Here is an 18,094-nt window from a genome sequence, read left to right as displayed (position 1 = left end):
TTCCCCACATTTCCCCCTTTTCTATTCGACAAAACCGCCATCGTCATCATGGCCCGTTCTCAATGAGCAGTTGGGTACACCTCCCAGATGAGGTGGCGGCCGGGCAGAGGGGCTCCTCACTTCCCAGAAGGGGTGGCCGGGCAGAGGCGCCCCCCCCACCTCTCGGACGGGGCGGCGGCCAGGCGGAGGCGCCCCCCAACTCCCCAACGGGGCGGCTGGCCGGGCGGGGGCTGCCCCCCACCTCCCTCCCGGAAGGGGCGGCTGGCTGGGCGGAGGCTGCCCCCCACCTCCCAGACGGGCCGGCTGCCGGGCGGAGACGCTCCTCACTTCCCAGACGGGGTGGCTGCCGGGCGGAGGGGCTCCTCACTTCCCAGACGGGGCGGCTGCTGGGCGGAGGGGCTCCTCACTTCTCAGACGGGTCGGCCGGGCAGAGACGCTCCTCAACTCCCAGACGGGGTCGCGGTCGGGCAGAGGCGCTCCTCACATCCCAGATGGGGTGGCGGGGCAGAGGCGCTCCCCACATCCCAGACGGGGTGGCGGGGCAGAGGCGCTCCCCACATCTCAGACGATGGGCGGCCGGGCAGAGACGCTCCTCACTTCCTAGACGGGATGGCGGCCAGGAAGAGGCGCTCCTCACTTCCCAGTCTGGGCAGCAGGGCAGAGGGGCTCCTCACATCCCAGACGATGGGCGGCCAGGCAGAGATGCTCCTCACTTCCCAGACGGGGTGGCGGCCGGGCAGAGGCTACAATCTCGGCACTTTGGGAGGCCAAGGCAGGCGGGTGGGAGGTGGAGGTTGTAGTGAGCCGAGATCACGCCACTGCACTCCAGCCTGGGCAACATTGAGCACTGAGTTAATGAGACACTGTCTGCAATCCCGGCACCTCAGGAGGCCTAGGCTGGCAGATCACTCGCGGTTAGCAGCTGGAGACCAGCCCGGCCAACACAGCGAAACCCCGTCTCCACCAAAAAAATACGAAAACCAGTCAGGTGTGGCGGCGCGCGCCTGCAATCGCAGGCACTTGGCAGGCCGAGGCAGGAGAATCAGGCAGGGAGGTTGCAGTGAGCCGAGATGGCGGCAGTACAGTCCAGCTTTGGCTTGGCATCAGAGGGAGACCGTGGGGAGAGGGGAGGCTTGTATTTTTAATAGAGACAGAGTTTCACTGTGTTGGCCAGGCTGGTCTTGAACTCCTGACCTCATGATCTTCCCACCTCAGCCTCTCAAAGTGCTGGGATTACAGGCAGGAGCCACCGCGCCCGACCTTTTTTTTTTTTTTTTTTTTTTTTTCCCAGGCTGGAGTGCAGTGGTGCAATCCTAGCTCATTGCAGCCTTGAACTCCCCGTGCTCAGATGATCCACCTTAGCCTCTTGGGTACCTGGGACTACAGATTTGTGCCACCGTGCCTAGCTAATTTTTTTTTTTTTTTTTTTTTTGTAGAGACAGGGTTTCATCATATTGCACAGGCTGGTCTTCAACTTCTGGGTTCAAGTGCTCACCTCAGCCTCCCAAAGTGTTGGGATTATAGGCGTGAGCAGCTGCTGTAGGCCCACAAAATGTATTTTTATAGCCTCTTTCCCATCCAGTCGGGGTTTCTGTATTTACATATTGTCACTGAAGTATTTTTATAGCCTCTTTTCCCATCCAGTCAGGGTTTGTGTATTTACATATTGTGACTGAAGTACACTACTGAATGATAATCCTTTTCTCAGATGATTATTTTCTCAATTATTTATCAGATATAATTGCCAGTCAGGTCATCTGATAAGCAAGAAATAACTACTGCTGTTACTTAGTTCAGGTAATTTTCATCAATGCTAAGTAAATTGCTAATTTATTGTAGGATAAAATGTAACTTTTTGGGGCTTTTGGAAAGTCTAAAAATATGTATTCCATGACTGCTATGCCAACCCTAAGTTTTGAAACACTGATGAAAGTTTCCTTTGATTTGTGGGAGTGAGGCAACAATTACATTAGTAAAAACTTAAGGTAGTATATGGGCTGGGCGCAGTGGCTCTCTCCTGTAATCCCAGCTCTTTGGGAGACCAAGGCAAGTGGATCACTTGAGGTCAGGTGTTTGAGACCAGCCTGGCCAACATGGTGAAACCCTACCTCTACCAAAAAATACAAAAATTAGCTGTGTGTGGGCTGGGCGCGGTGGCTCACGCCTGTAATCCCAGCACTTTGGGGGGCCGAGGCGGGCGGATCACGAGGTCAGGAGATCGAGACCATCCTGGCTAAAACGGTGAAACCCCGTCTCTATTAAAAATACAAAAAATTAGCCAGGCATGGTGGCACGCCTCTGTAATCTCAGCTAATCCGGAGGCCGAGGCAGGAGAATCGCTTGATCCCAGAAGTCGGAGGTTGCAGCGAGCCGAGATTGTGCCACTGCACTCCAGCCCGGGTGATAGAGCGAGACTCTCTCAAAAAAAAAAAAAAAAAAAAAAAAAATAGCTGGGTGTGGTGGCACATGCCTATAGTCCCACCTACTTGGGAGGCTGAGGCGGGAGAATTGCTGGAACCCTGGAGGGGAGGCAGAGGTCAGTGAGGTACCTGAGATCGCACCACTGTGCTCCAGCCTGGGCAGACAGAATGAGACCTTGTCTCAAAAAAAAAAAAAAAAAAAAGAGAAAAACTTAAGGTAGTATATTCTCTGTTATTTCTGTGAATGCTAAGTTTACATTACTGCAGATTAGGCCTGAATGATGGTTCTCCCTGCGCAAATGGTATATGCTACTCTATAGGTGTTCACTTGAACGAATATTTATTGCTGCCAGTTGTCAACAATGTTAGATGCTAGAATACAGATGAATAATGTAGGTTCCTGATCTTCAGTTGCTTACATGTTGGTGAGCAGACACACACAGTTTAAATGTGTGTATAGGATTCCAGGGTACTGCTGCCTGTGACAGAGAAAAGCATTGTTGAATTGAGCTTGAGTATTTGGCAAGGATTCCTTGAGCTGGGGAGGCTGAGCCTTAGTTTTCTTAGATTCTTCCTATAGAATCAAGTATCAAGGCTGGGCACGGTGGCTCACGCCTGTAATCCCAGCACTTTGGGAGGCCGAGACGGGCAGATCACCTGAGGTCGGGAGTTTGAGACCATCCTGACCAACATGGAGAAACCCCATCTCTATTAAATTATAAAAAATTATCCGGGCATGGCGGTGGGTGCCTGTAACCCCAGCTACTTGGGAGGCTGAGGAGGAGGAGAATCGTTTGAACCTGGGAGGCGGAGGTTGCAGTGAGCCAAGATCATGCCATTGTACTCCAGCCTGGGCAACAAGAGTGAAACTCCGTCTCAAAAAAAAAAAAAGAAAAAAGTATCAAATTCCTGAAGTTACAATTAAATTGTTAAAACACTTTAAATGTTGTATTCAGAGTTTAGTTTTATTAGAATTTGCTGTTATTTTGCTTTGTTCTATTTTGTTTGAGACAGGGTCTTACTCTGTCACTCAGGAATGCAGTGATGCGATCAGGCTCACTGCAGCCTTAACCTACCTGGGCTCAAGCGATTTCCCCCACTCAAAAAAAAAAAGAGAGAATGTGCAGTATGTCCTTGAGTAAACATGCCTGTGGAACGTGAAGGCAAAAAGGCAGGGACGATTTAGGAGAATACCAAGGCTGGTTTGACCAAGTGTAGGGATTGGAAGGAATAAACAGTTTGCATTTTATTGAGGAGTTGATGGTTTGTGAACAGAAGTTGACAGTTTTTGTTGATAGTGTTTGTTTGTTTCTTTCTTTATTTTTGAGATGGAGTCTCGCTTTATATCCCAGGTTGGAGTACAGTAGCACGATCTCGACTCACTGCAACTTCTGCCTCCCAGGTTCAAGTGATTCTTGTGCCTCAGCCTCCTCTGAGTAGTTGGAATTACAGGCACGTGCCACCACAAACCTGGCTAATCTTTATATATATATATTTTTTTTTTTTTTTAGATGGAGTCTCGCTCTGTCACCCAGACTGGAGTGCAGTGGCGCGATCTCGGCTCACTGCAACCTCCACCTCCCAGGTTCAAGCTGTTCTCCCACCTCAGCCTCCCAAGTAGCTGGGATTACAGGCACCCGCCATCATGCCCGGCTAATTTTTGTACTTTTGTAGAGATGGGGTTCCACCATGTTGGCCAGGCTGGTCTTGAACTCCTGACCTCAGGTGATCCGCCCGCCTCGGCCTCCCAAAGTGCTGGGATTACAGGCGTGAGCCACCGCGCCTAGCCGTATGAAATGTTTTGAATGACAGAGACAGATGAAAGAATGAGAACAGAAGAAAGATTTGACAATTAGGAGACCAGTGGTGACCTAGGGAGTAGCATTTTTCCTACTGTTAGAGTGATAGGGTGATGGAAACCAGAATACAGAAGGTTAAGGAGATGTTTAGTGAGGAAATGGAGGCAGTGAATGTATTCATTTTGTGAAATACAGTTTATGTAGTTGTTGCTTACAAGATAGAACATGAAGTTTCAGGAGTGCTTGGAAGGTAATTTTTCTGAGCCTTTGTTTTTGAGAGTAATCCGGATGTAGAGAACAGTTGAGCGATTCGTTTTTTTTTTGTTTGTTTGTTTGTTTTGAGATTGAGTCTCGCTGTTTCCCAGGCTGGAGTGCAGTGGCGTGATCTTGACTCACTGCAACCTCCGCCTCCCAGGTTGAAGCAATTCTCCTCCCTCAGCCTCTCCAGTAGCTGGGACTATAGGCTCATGCCACTACACCTGGCTAATTTTTGTATTTTTAGTAGAAACAGGGTTTCACCATGTTAGCCAGGATGGTCTTGATCTCCTGACCTCCTGATCCGCCCGCCTGTGCCTCCCAAAGTGCTGGGATTACAGGCGTGAGCCACTGTGCCCAGCCAGTTGAGTGGTTCTTTAGACATATAAGGATGTGGGGTATTTCTCATTAGTGTAGTGTTTTCTTTATTAAGGAATTTTGTATTTGGATTAAAACTGGACCAGATACTTATGTGGCAGGTGTGTTAATGTTTAAATGGATGGCATGACTTTGTTTTGATAGATACATTCTTTAGGTAACAGACATTTTTAAGAAAGTTGCTTTTGGCATGAGTGATTAAGTAATAAGGATGTCAGTAAAATAAAAGCAATATACTTTTACTAAAAAAAGAAAAACCAGGACTTGATATCCTGGATTCATGAGGAAAGTTGAAGAACTATAATGAAAAACTTCTGAAGTATTAAATCAGTATTTATATTTTAGGCTTGTAATAAAACCTAGAGATGATGTAACTGTCTCAAAATGACTTAATAGGTATGTTGAACTTTTATAAATCACTTGTGAAATAAATTGTGAATTTGTGACATTTGAGTGCCAAATGTTGAAATGGTTCCTGCAGAGATGTGAATAATGAGAACTATTATTTTAGGTCATCTGGTCTTCATTAAGAATTGATTTGAAGCCGGGCGTGGTGGGTCATGCCTTTAATCCTAGGACTTTGGGAGGCTGAGGCAGGTGGATCACCTGAGGTCAGGAGTTCAAGAACAGCTTGGCCAACATGACGAAACCCCGTCTCTACTAAAAATGCAAAAATTAGCCAGGCATGGTGGTGGGTGCCTGTAATCCCAGCTACTTGGGAGGCTGAGACAGGAGAATTGCTTGAACCTGGGAGGCAGAGGTTGCAGTGAGCTGAGATCATGCCATTGCACTCCAGCCTGGGCAACAGAGTGAAACTCTGTTTAAAAAAAAAAAAAAAGAATTGATTTGATGCTTGACTGTAGTCGCAGCTGCTTGGGAGGTTGAGGTGGGAGAATCTCTTGAGCGCAGGAGGCAGAGGTTGCAGGGAACCGAGATTGCACCACTGCGCTTCAGCCTGGGCGAAAGAGTCAGACCCTGTCTCAGGAGAAAAAAAAAAAGTATACAATTAAGTTATTGACTATAGTTACCCTATTGTGCTATCAAATAGTGGGTCTTATTATTTTTGTACTCAATAACCATCCCTACCTCCCCCAAGTCCCCCACTACCCTTCCTAGCCTCTGATACTCCATCCTTCTACTGTCTGTGATTATGAGTTCAATTGTTTTGATTTTTAGTTCCCACAACTAAGTGAGAACATGTGATGTTTGTCTTTCTGTTTCTGGGTTATTTCACTTAACATAATGATCTCCGGTTCTATCCACGTTGTTTCAAATGACAGGATCTCATTCTTTTTTATGGCTAAGTAGTACTCTGTTGTGTATAAGTACCATGTTTTATCTATTCACCTGTTGATAGACACTTAGGTTACTTCCAAATCTTAGCTATTGTAAACAGTGCTGCAACAAACAGGAATGCAGATATTTCTTCAATATACTGATTTCCCTTATTTTGGGTATATACCCAGCAGTGAGATTGCTGGATCATATGGTAGCTCAATTTTTAGTTTTTTCCAGAACCTCCAAATTGTTTTCCATAGTAGTTGTACTGTGTGTTGAGTACTGTCATGGTTTTTCTGTTCTTGAAAATAAGAAGCAAGAGTTAAACATTGTGGCTTAGAGTATCAAGAAGCAAAGATGTTGATTTTTTTTTTTTTTTTTTTGAAGACAGGGTCTTGCTCTGTTGCCCAGGCCAGAGTACAGTGGCGGCTCACTGCAACCTCTGCCTCCTAGGTTCAAGTGATTCTCGTGCCCCAGCCTCTGGACTAGCTGAGATTACAGGTGCGTGCAACCACGCCCAGCTAATTTTTGTATTGTTTGTAAAGATAGGGTTTTGACATGTTGGCCAGGCTGATCTCAAACTCCGGACCTCAAGTGATCCGCCTGCCTCGGCCTCCCAAAGTGCTGGAATTACAGGCATGAGCCACCACACCCAGCCTAAGAAACAAAGATTCTTAATCTCTGTGACTGGTTGTGGTCATCATGACTGTAGTAGAAGAAAAATTGTTTTATTGAACTTGTATCCCTAAGAAAGCTGAGGTAGGTTAGCCTATATTTTGATATCTTCCTTCCTTCTGACTGGCCAAAGGGGGAAGGTGGTTTTCCTCCTTTATCCCCTTTCCTGTGAAGCCTTGGGACAGAGTAACTAGTGGGAAGTTAATCTTACTTTGGTGGATGCAGAGCTGGAGACTCAGGGCAGAGGGAGTGTGAGTGTATAAAGACAGAAATATGCCTGAGTCTTTATCACAGACCAAGGTTATTGTGCTGTTGGTATTAAATCTATGAGTTAATTTGTTCTTACTTTCATCCTTTCAAGAGAGGATAGATGGGGATTCCTGCAGCTGAACATGGTTGGCGAGAGAGCCGTGTTTAGCTACGTTTAGGGATAGAATTTGACATGGATGAGGATGTTAAGTTGGCAACTTATTAGCACTTTTTAAATTTTTTGGTGCTATAGGGTCATGCTATGTTGCCCAGGCTGATCATAGCTCACTGTAGCCTCGAAATCCTGGGATCAAGCAATCCTCCCGCCTCAGCCTCCCAAGGAGGTGGGACCACAGGCATGCGCCACCATACCTGGCTAATTTTTAAATGTATTTTTTAGTAGAGATGAGGAGGTCTTGCTATGTTACCCAGGCTGGTCTCAAACTCCTGGGCTCAAGAAGTCCTCCCTCCTTGGCTTCCCAAGGTGTTGAGATTACGGGCATGAACCACCACACCTGGCCTATTAGCACTTTTTGTTAATACATAGGAAATAGATCCTCTTTTTTTCTTTCTTTTTTTTTTTTTTGGTTTGGGACAGGGTCTTGCTGTGTTGCCCAGGCCAGAGTGCAGTGGTGTGATCTCAGCTCAGTGAAGCCTCAGCCTCATACATTCAAAAATTAGCCGGGCATGGTGGTACATACCTGTGATCCCAGCTACTGGGAGGCTCAGGCAGGATAATCGCTTGAATTTACTTAGGAAAGCAAGTTAAGGCCGGGCGTGGTGGCTCATGCCTGTAATCCCAGCACTTTGGGAGGCCGAGGCGGGTGGATCACCTGAGGTCAGGAGTTTGAGACCAGCCTGGCCAACATGTCGAAACCTGTCTCTACTAAAAATACAAAAATTAGCCAGGTGTGGTGGTGGGCATCTGTAATCCCAGCTACTCAGGAGGCCAAGGCAGGAGAATAGCTTGAACCTGGGAGTAGAGGTTGCAGTAAGCCAAGATTACAGACACATGCCACCACGCCTGGCTAAATTTGTATTTTCAGTAGAGACGGGGTTTTGCCATGTTGGCCAAGCTGGCCTTTTTTTTTTTTTTTTGAGACTGAGTTTTGCTCTTGTAGCACAGGCTGGAGTGCAGTAGTGCGATCTCAACTCACTGCAACCTCCGCTTCCTGGGTTCAAGCGATTCCTCTGCCTCAGCCTCCCGAGTAGTAGGATTACAGGTCCGTGCCACCATGCCCGGCTAAGTTTTGTATGTTTAGTAGAGAGAGGGTTTTACCATTTGGCCAGGCTGGTCTCAAACTCCTGACTCCCACCTTGCCAGGCTAGTCTTGAAACCCTGACCTCAGGTGATCCGCCTGCCTTGGCCTCCCAAAATGCTGGGATTATAGGCAGGAGCTACAGTGCCTAGCCCTTATTTTATTTTTATTTTTAGTTTAATTTTTTTGAGATGAGTCTTGCTCTGTCGCCCAGGTTGGAGTGCAGTGGTGCGATCTTGGCTCACTGCAAGCTCCGCCTCCTGGGTTCATGCCATTCTCCTGCCTCAGCCTTCTGGGTTGTTGGGACTACAGGCGCCTGCCACTATGCCCAGCTAATTTTTTAAAAATACTTTTAGTAGAGACGGGGTTTCACCATGTTAGTCAGGATGGTCTCGATCACCTGACCTTGTGATCCATGCGCCCGGGCCTCCCAAAGTGCTGGGATTACAGGCGTGAGCCACCGTGCCTGGCCCCTTATTTTATTTTTGAAACAGGGTCTCACTCATCTCTTGGGCACTGTACTAGGAGTGCACTGGCGTGATCACGGCATACTGCAGCCTTGACCTCCCAGGCTCAAGTGATCCTCCCATTTCAGCCTTCTGAGTAGCTGGGACCACAGGTGTGCTCTGTCATACCGGGCCAGTTTTTTTGTTTGTTTGTTTGTTTTTGAGATGGAATCTGGCTCTGTCGCCCAGGCTGGAGTGCAGTGGCGCGATCTCGGCTCACTGCAACCTCCGCCTTCCGGGTTCACGCCATTCTCCTGCCTCAGCCTCCCAAGTAGCTGGGACTACAGGTGCCCGCCACCACGCCTGGCTAATTTTGTTTTTGTATTTTTAGTAGAGATGGGGTATCACCGTGTTAGCCAGGGTGGTCTCGATCTCCTGACCCCGTGATCTGCCCGCCTCAGCCTCCCAAAGTGCTGGGATTACAGGCGTGAGCCACCGCGCCCGGCTCACCTGGCTGATTTTTAAACTTTTTTATAGAGACGGGTTCTCTCTATGTTGCCCAGGCTGGTCTTGAACTCCTGGCCCCACACTGCTCTCCTGCCACAGCCTCTCAAAGTGTTGGGATTACAGGCGTGAGCCACCGTGCCTGGCCTATGTATGTATTTCTTTCTTTTTTTTTTTTTCGAGATGGAGTCTTGCTCTGTCACCCAGGCTGGAGTGCAGTGGCGCAATCTCAGCTCACTGCAACCTCTGCCTCTCGGGTTCAAGCAGTTCTCTTGCCTCAGCCTCCCGAGTAGCTGGGATTACAGGTGCCCCCACCACAGCGGCCTAATTTTTGTATTTTTAGTAGAGATGGGTTTTCACCATGTTGGCCAGGCTGATCTCGAACTCCTGATCTCATGATCCACCTGCCTTGGCCTCCCAAAGTGCTGGGTTTACAGGTGTGAGCCACCGTGCCTGGCCGCATTTCTTCCTTCTTCTTCTTTTTATTTTTTTAAATAGAGACAAGGTCTTGCTATGCTGCCCAGGCTGGTCTCGAACTCCTGAGCCCAAGTGGTCCTCCCACCATGGCCTCCCAAAGTATTGGGATTACAGGTGTGAACCACTGGGCCTGGCCTATGTATACATTTTCTTTTTTTTTTTTGAGAAGTTTTGCTCTTGTTGTCCAGGCTGGAGTGCCGTGGCATAATCTTGGCTCATTGCAACCTCCGCCTCCTGGGTTCAAGCAATTCTCCTGCCTCAGCCTCCCGAGTAGCTGGGATTATAGGTACCCGCCACCACATCCAGCTAATTTTTTATATTTTTAGTAGAGACAAGGTTTCACCATGTTGGCCAGGCTGGTCTCAAACTCTTGACCTTCTGGTGATCCACCCTCCTCAGCCTCCCAAAGTGCTGGATTACAGGTCTGAGCCACTACGCCTGGCCCTATGTACACATTTTTAGGTGAACGTGTTTTCAGTTCTCTTGGGTGCATACCCAGGAGTAGGATTGCTTGGTCTTTATCATAACTGTTTAATTTCTTTAGGAACTGTTAAGAGTTTTTTTTATTTTTTAGGAGATGTGGTCTTACTCTATTGCCCAGTCTGGAGTGCGGTGACATGATCATAGCACACTGCAGCCTTGATCTCCTAAGCTCAAGGATTCCTACCACCTCAACCTCCTGAATGGGTGGGATTCCAGGTGTGCGCCACCAAGCGTGGCTAATTAAAAAAAAATTTATTGTATAGACGAGGACTTGCCACGCCGCCCAGGTTTGCTCACCTCCTGCTGTGCGGCCCAGTTCCTAATTACCCCAGTCTGCAGCCTGGGAGTTGGGGATTGGGGATCCCTGCTTTATAGTATAGGCTTTTTTGCTTTTTTTTTTCCTTTTTGTAGGAGAGAGAGAACTGTTATAAGTAGTGGTGAAGACTGGTTATGAATAATTACATGCTTTTCAAGAGATTCCAGGGTGAAGAGTCCTGGTTACCTGCTGGGCAAAAGACAAGGTTTAAGGCTGGTCGCAGTGGCTCGTGTCTGTAATCCCAGCACTTTAAGAGCCTGAGGTAGGCGGATCACTTAAGGTCAGGAGTTTGAGACCAGCCTGGCCAACATGGTGAACCCCATCTCTACCAAAAATACAAAAAATTAGCCGGGCGTGGTGGCGGGTGCCTGTAATCCCAGCTACTTGGGAGGCTGAGGCAGGCTAATCGCTTGAACCCAAGAGGCAGAGGTTGCAGTGAGCCAGTGTTGCGCCACTGCACTCCAGCCTGGGTGACAACAGTGAAACTCCATCTCAAAATAAATAAATAAATAAATAAATAAATAAATAAGACAGGGTTTACAGCTGAATTAGCAGGATAGGAATAGGACAGATGTGTGCAAACAGCTATGGGCAATTAATTCCCTTCGTGGCCTTAGGTAACCTGAAAGAGAATTGTGACGATATCAAATAAATTTTGATGTCCTATAGTGTTTGAGTTCACCAGCACTCATCCTTTCCATGGGCAGGTTATATCCATGGAACAGCAGATAACTTTGTGATTCTTCTGTCAGCGAAGTGTGGGTGTAGGGGAGTTCAACCTTGTCCATCAGCTGCTAGAGGCCTGACCCTGCCCTTAACAGCTGCAGAGAATAAAAGTATCAGCTTGTTCAGCTCCTGGCATGCAGGGTACAAGCAGTTGAGCTGCATGGAATTGGATCTCATAGTTGAGTTTCTTGGCACCCTAGATACCTTGTTCTCTCCTCGATTACGGGTGTAGACTTTGTGTTGGTGGCTGTTCTGGGCCTCCTAATTTAGTTGAGATTCTTTTCTTTTCTTTTTTTTTTTTTTGAGATGGAGTCTCGCTCTGTCGCCCAGCCTGGAGTGCAGTGGTGCAATCTCGGCTCACTGCAAGCTCTTGCCTCCCAGGTTCACACCATTCTCCTGCCTCAGTCTCCTGAGTAGCTGGGGCTACAGGTACCCGCCACCACCCCCGGCTAATTTTTTTTTTGTATTTTTAGTAGAGATGGGGTTTCGCCGTGTTAGCCAGGATGGTCTCGATCTCTTGACCTCATGACTCGCCTGCCTTGGCCTCCCAGAGTGCTGGGATTACAGGCGTGAGCCACCGTGCCTGGCCTATTTTTTTCTTTTTTAAATAATAGAAATGGGGTCTCACTGTGTTGCCCAGGCTGGTTTTAAACTCCTGGGCTCAGGCGATCCTCCCCCTCTTGGCCTCCCAGACTGTTGGAGTTACAGGCATGAGCCACTATGCCAGGCCAGATTCTTTTGTTTATTTTTTAATAAATAAATTCAAGTGGATTCTCCTGCCTCAGCCTCCCGATTTGCTGGGATTACAGGCATGCGCCACCACACCTGGCTTATTTTTTGTATTTTTAGTAGGGTAGGGTTTCACTATGTTGGCCAGGCTCATCTCAAACTCCTGACCTCAAGTAATCCTCCCGCCTCAGCCTCCCAAAGTGCCGGGATTACAGGTGTGAGCCACCGTACCTGGCCTTGGCCTCAGATTCTTAATCTGAGCTTTGTCTTCTGCAGGTATGAATAAATGAATTTCCTCTGCAGAGAAGGTTGAGAATATTGACTGTTTTCTTAGTAGAAAATGCGGGAACACAGATTAGAAATTAAACAAAAATAATAGTAGTGGTCACAGAAATATACCAGTATAGAACATATGGGTATCTGAAAGGCTGAGAAGCTAGGTGAGATCTGATCTAGACCAGATCTTTGTCATCAGGCACAAGCTTTGCAGGTGATGCCAACAATAGTTATGCTGTTGTATAGAAGAAGAAGCTGAATTGGGAACTATTATTTATCTGTGACTGAACAGTTAGCCTTACAACATAGCATAATAGTTAAGTGCACACACTGTAGAGCCAAATGTCCTGGGTTTGAATACTGCCTTCACCACTTACTAGCTGTGATTCTCTGTGTATCTTAGTTTCCTCTCTGTAAAATGGGAGTAAAGTAATGTGTACTCTAGAGTGTTGGAAAGATTAGTGACTTAATACTGTACATATAAAGTGCTTAGAATGGTGTCTGGCACATAGTGAATGGTATGTGCTTTCTGCTAGTATTGTCATTACCATTGGTTTTAGATTTTGGGAATGAGTGGACATATATAGATGAAGGACCTGAGACCCATCCTTGCCAGTTTGAGATAGACCCTGCACCACTGGTCTCATGACTCAGTGAACAGCATCTCTGGACATTCTTGATGAAGACTTGCTTCTTTAACATAAATTGTGTATCCTGTTTTTAGTAGTTGAACCCTTAGCCCATTATGTAATTCATGTCATCTGAATTATATTTGGTTTGAAAAAAACATTAGTTTTTCTGTTCCTGAAACGTAAATTTATTTGATGTAGTAGCTGAGATACTTTGCACAAGTGTGTCAACATCCTGGTTTTAGAACTATCTTCCAATCAATGCTTTGTGATGCTGTCTTAAATACATGCAGTGTAAGTATGTAGTTTGGGATTTAATTAACTGTTCAAACTTTTATTAAATGTCTGTTGAAATCTTCCCTCTTCTCAGTATGTTGTCAGCAAGTGTTCTGTAACTTTTCAGAATGATAAAATGTGTCCTTGCTTTTCGTTTAGGGTATATACATGGTTTTTAGAAAAGTTTTTACCCGACCGTGTTTTTTGTATGCCTTAAAGTTAGATGAATTTGTGCTTATGTAAGCTTTAACAGAAATGTTGGTGGTTGTTAAGTCAACCATTTTCAGTTAAGTCTAAACTGAGATCACTTGAAAATGCGGCTGTTTCACTGAGGTATCTTATCTTCAGAAAGGTCCTTGAAAAAAACAGCAGTTAAACCGGGCATGGTAGCTCAGGCCTGTAATCCTAGTTCTTTGGGAGGCCAAGGTGGGAGGATCACCTGAGCCCAGGAGTTTGAGACCAGCCTAGGCAAATATGGGAAGATCGTATGTCTATGAAAAAGAAAACAAAAACGGAAACAAAACTTTTTAGGCAGTTAAAACTTTTTTCCAAAACTATTCCTTTCATAGAGAATATCTTTGTAGTTTTATCAGGTTGGTTTATTCGGCCGGAGACTTTCTTTCCTCATTACATTTAGACAATTTTTTCACTTTAATCGTTAATAGGAAGCTTTATATTATATTTTGCTGATTTTGTTTCTAAAGAAGTTAAAAATGTAGCAGCAGTTCTTTACCTGTGTTAAAATCTATCACATCTTTAATTCACTTTGAGGTGAGATAAATACGGGTTTCAAAATTTGGTTGGATAGATTGAAGTAAGCCTGGTGCTTCCTGCCCCTCAAGAACTTGAGATAGGTATGTTTGAGTTTCTACTGGATTATTTTTAGAATCTTTTGCTCTTGTCTGTTTCTATTCTGAGAATTCTCTTGGAACCTGTTCCAGTGTAGTAGAACTCTTGGGAGTGGAAAGTGATAGATGATGGAACACAAGTGTACACTGAATTCCTATGGTCTGGCAACTGGGTACTTGTTGTAGAAGCATTCCTATTTACTACACACAGCTCCATTTCCCAGAAAAGGAGGACATAGAAGTTCCTCCTAACAGTATGTTAGTTGAAGGTGTTGATTTTTACGGTCTAGTTTCCATGTCTCAGTCATTTTTACAGTTCAGTGGTGGTAACAATTTTTAAGGGTCTTGAAGAATATTTTGGTAACTTACGCTTTTACCTTGATTTAATGGATTCACAATTATCAGAAGTTTTTTTTTTTTGGGGAGACAGAGTCTTGTTCTGTCGCCCCGATTGGAGTGTAGTGGCATGATCTCGGTTCACTGCAACCTCCGCCTCTCGGGTTCAAGTGATTCTCCTGCCTTAGCCTCCCAAATAGCTGGGATTACAGGCTCACGCCACCACACCCAGCTAATTTTTGTAGTTTTAGTAGAGACAGGGTTTCGCCATGTTTGCCAGGCTGGTCTGGAACTCCTGACCGCAAGTGATCCACCCGCCTCAGCCTCCCAAAGTGCTGAGATGACAGGCATTAGCCACCGCGCCTGGCTTTATCAGAAGTTTTATGTAAAATTAATACGGGAAAATTTGTCTGTTGAATCATGCATCCTGTTAAAGTTATTTTCTGACCCGTTTTTCCAGAAGATTTCAGTCACATCCCCCATCCCCTGTGATTGTTGTGCGAAACCTGTTTCATCTCTGGAAATTTTTTTGCTGGACATCTTTAATATTAAGACTTTTTATGAATAGGGAATTAGGTATTATAACATTTCAGTGATAGTGTGGAGAGGCACAACTGACAGAAGACAAGTTAATCTGAATTTATTTAAGCATGCATTCTTGGATGTCCTGAGGCCCTTACAATTATTTTTATTTTTCAAAGAATGTATTTGCTATTTTTTTTTTTTTTGAGACAGAGTTTTGCTGTTGTTTCCCAGGCTGGAGTGCAATGGCGCAATTTTGGCTCACCGCAACCTCTTCCTCCCGGGTTCAAGCGATTCTCCTGCCTCAGCCTCCTGAGTAGCTGGGATTATGGGCATGTGCCCCCACGCCCGGCTAATTTTGTATTTTTAGTAGAGATGGTCGGGCTGGTCTTGAACTCCCGACCTCAGGTGATCCAGCCGGCTCGGCCTCCCAAAATGCTGGGATTACAGGCGTGTGCCACCGCGCCCATCCTTGTATTTGCTATTTTTATTTTTATTTTTTTTTGAGACAGAGTCTTGCTCTGTCACCCGGACTGGAGTGCAATGGCGCCATCTCGGCTCCCTGCAGACTCCGCCTCCCAGGTTCAAGCGATTCTCCTGCGTCAGCCTCCTGGGTAGCTGGGACTACAGGTGCGTGCCACCATGCCCGGCTAATTTTTTGTATTTTTAGTAGAGATGGGGTTTCACCTTATTAGCCAGGATGGCCTCGATCTCCTGACCTCGTGATCCGCCTGCCTTGGCCTCCAAAGTGCTGGGATTACAGGCGTGAGCTACTGCACCCGGCCTGTATTTGCTATTTTTAAGCTAGAAGTCTTTGTAGTAACAATTTATGAATATATAACCCAGAGCAGTAAACCTTAATTAAGAGAAAAACTTTTTCCAAACAATAAAGTAAGCCATGTAGTTTTTATGTTTCACAAAGCAACTATTCTGGTTTAGCCATGCAACCGGGTCATTATTTATAGGCTAATTACGTATTCATTGTGGAATATTAAGAATTGATGATTGGAAGGAGATATAGTCTTAATGTTGATACTGTGAACATGGACCAGTAAAATTTTAATAGTTTGCGTTATAACAAAGAGTTATGGTTTTCTTCCTTGACAAGTGAGGATTCATGTACATTATATCAAAATGTTTGGTTATAGTAGTGAGGCTATAAAGATTAAGTCATTTTTCTGTAAATCAAAAAATTAATGTACATTGAATATGGGTTAAGTATATTTCTTCTGTACATGCAGATTTTTATCACCAGATGGCACTCCTGTATGGAGAAAGTCTCATTTTGTTATTTCACCTAGATTATTTTCTTTCTTTTTTTTTTTTTTTGAGACAGTCTTGCTCTGTTTCCCTGGAGTGGAGTGGTGCGATCTCAGCTCACTGCAACCTCTGCCTCCTGGGTTCAAGCGATTCTTCTGCCTCAGCCTCCCGAGTAGCTGGGACTACAGGCGCGTGCCACCATGCCTGGCTAATTTTTTGTATTTTTGGTAGAGACAGGGTTTCACTGTATTAGCCAGGATGGTCACCATCTCCTGACCTCGTGATCCGCCTGCCTCGGCCTCCCAAAGTGCTGGGATTACAGGCGTGAGCCACTGCACCCAGCCGATTATTTTCATAAATGGGGTCACTGAGAATAAACAGTGAGAAAAAGATCAGATAATCCAATCAACAGAACTGGAAATCTATGAGTAAACTACTCACTTCTTAAAAAGGTTTTGTGGTAGGAATACTACTCAACAAGTTAGCTTTTGATTAGATGCTTAATTCTGTTTTATTCTTTTCTTAAAATGTATTTATTTAAGGAGATAGGTGGCTGGGCATGATGGCTCACACCTGTAATCCCAGCACTTTGGAGGCTGAGGCTGGTGGATCACTTGAGGTCAGGAGTTCAAGACCAGCCTGGCCAACATGGTGAAACCCCATCTCTACTAAAAATACAAAAAAAATCGGCTGGGCACGGTGGCACATACCTATAGTCCCAGCTACTTGGGAGGCTGAGGTGGGAGAATCACTTGAACCTGGAAGGCAGAAGTTGCTGGGCCGAGATCGTGCCACTGCACTCCAGCCTGGGCAACAAAGCCAGACTGTGTCTTAAAAAAAAAAAAAAAAAAAAAAGGGGTCTTGCTGTGTTGCCTAGCCTGGATTTGAACTGTGGGTTAAGTGATCTTCCTGCCTCAGCCTCCTGAATAGCTGGGACTTACAGGTGCATGCCACCTTGCCCAGCTTGGATGCTTCACTTTAGATACTTAAGATGGAATTGCAGAGTATTAGTGCTGAAGGTGATTTTTTTATTTTTATTTTTTTAGATGGTGTCTCGCTCTTGTTGCCCAGGTTGGAGTGCAGTGGTGCAATCTCAGCTCACTGCAACCTCCTCCTCCTGGCTTCAAGCGATTCTCCTGCCTCAGCCTCCTAAGTAGTTGGGATTACAGAGGTGCGCCACCATGCCCGGCTAATTTTTGAATTTTTAATACAGGTAGGGTTTCACCACGTTGGCCAGGCTGGTCTTGAACTCCTGTCATCAGGTGATCTGTCTGCCTTGGCTTCCCAAAGTGTTGGGATTACAGGTGTGAGCCACGGTGCCTGGCCTGAAGGTGATTTTAAAAATAATCCAATGGGGCCGGGCACAGTGGCTCATGTCTGTAATTGCAGCACTTTGGGAGGTTGAGGCGGTTGGATCACCCGAGGTCTGGAGTTCGAAACCAGCCTGACCAACAAGTTGAGACCCCATCTCTACTAAAAATACAAAAATTAGTCGGGCGTGGTGGCAGGCGTCTGTAGTCCCAGCTGCTTGGGAGGCTGAGACAGGAGAATCGCCTGAACCCGGGAGACGGAGGTTGCAGTGAGCTGAGATCACATCACTGCACTCCAGCCTGGGTGATGGAGCGAGCCTCCGTCTCAAAAAAAAAAAAAAAAAAATCAAATGGATTCTTTCTCAAATACAGATATGCCTTACATTTGTTTAAATGCATCACAGTTTTAAAACAGTGTGTTCGTATGCATTTATTCATATCTGAGAGAATGCTTTAAAAATAAATGGAATCATGGCAAAACAATTAACCTTGTTCTCTATAATACAACCAAAATGATAAACCCAAACCAACAAAATTATAAAGTTGTTAAACTGAAAAAGGATGCAAAATGTGTATTCATACTGACTGGAGAGGCAGATTCAAATGCAGTAAAAAGTTTTAAACCAGTGTATTGAGGCTGTGA

The 18,094-nt window shown here is 45.7% G+C and overlaps 1 protein-coding gene across 9 annotated transcripts in view, besides 2 other annotated features; it reads left to right on the top strand.

Annotated features, from left to right (window-relative positions):
• UBAP2 (ubiquitin associated protein 2) overlaps positions 1–18,094 on the top strand; it is a 127,507-nt gene that overhangs the window by 9,770 nt on the left and 99,643 nt on the right. The window lies entirely within an intron of this gene.
• Positions 5,197–6,190: an enhancer, noted in NCBI's record as "H3K4me1 hESC enhancer chr9:34033238-34034231 (GRCh37/hg19 assembly coordinates)". NCBI's record gives its function as "activates a minimal SCP1, AML or CMV promoter by ChIP-STARR-seq in primed H9 embryonic stem cells {active_cell/tissue: H9 hESC(primed)}" and the evidence as "EXISTENCE:reporter gene assay evidence [ECO:0000049][PMID:30033119]".
• Positions 11,152–11,352: a silencer, noted in NCBI's record as "peak7224 fragment used in MPRA reporter construct". NCBI's record gives its function as "represses an SCP1 promoter by STARR-seq MPRAs in K562 erythroleukemia cells {active_cell/tissue: K562}" and the evidence as "EXISTENCE:reporter gene assay evidence [ECO:0000049][PMID:32103011]".

This window comes from Homo sapiens, chromosome 9 (assembly GCF_000001405.40).
Source record: "Homo sapiens chromosome 9, GRCh38.p14 Primary Assembly".
In the NCBI taxonomy this organism is placed as follows: Eukaryota; Metazoa; Chordata; class Mammalia; order Primates; family Hominidae; genus Homo; species Homo sapiens.
The sequence above is the reverse complement of the archived record's forward strand: the minus strand, read 5'-3'. Positions and strand labels throughout refer to the sequence as shown.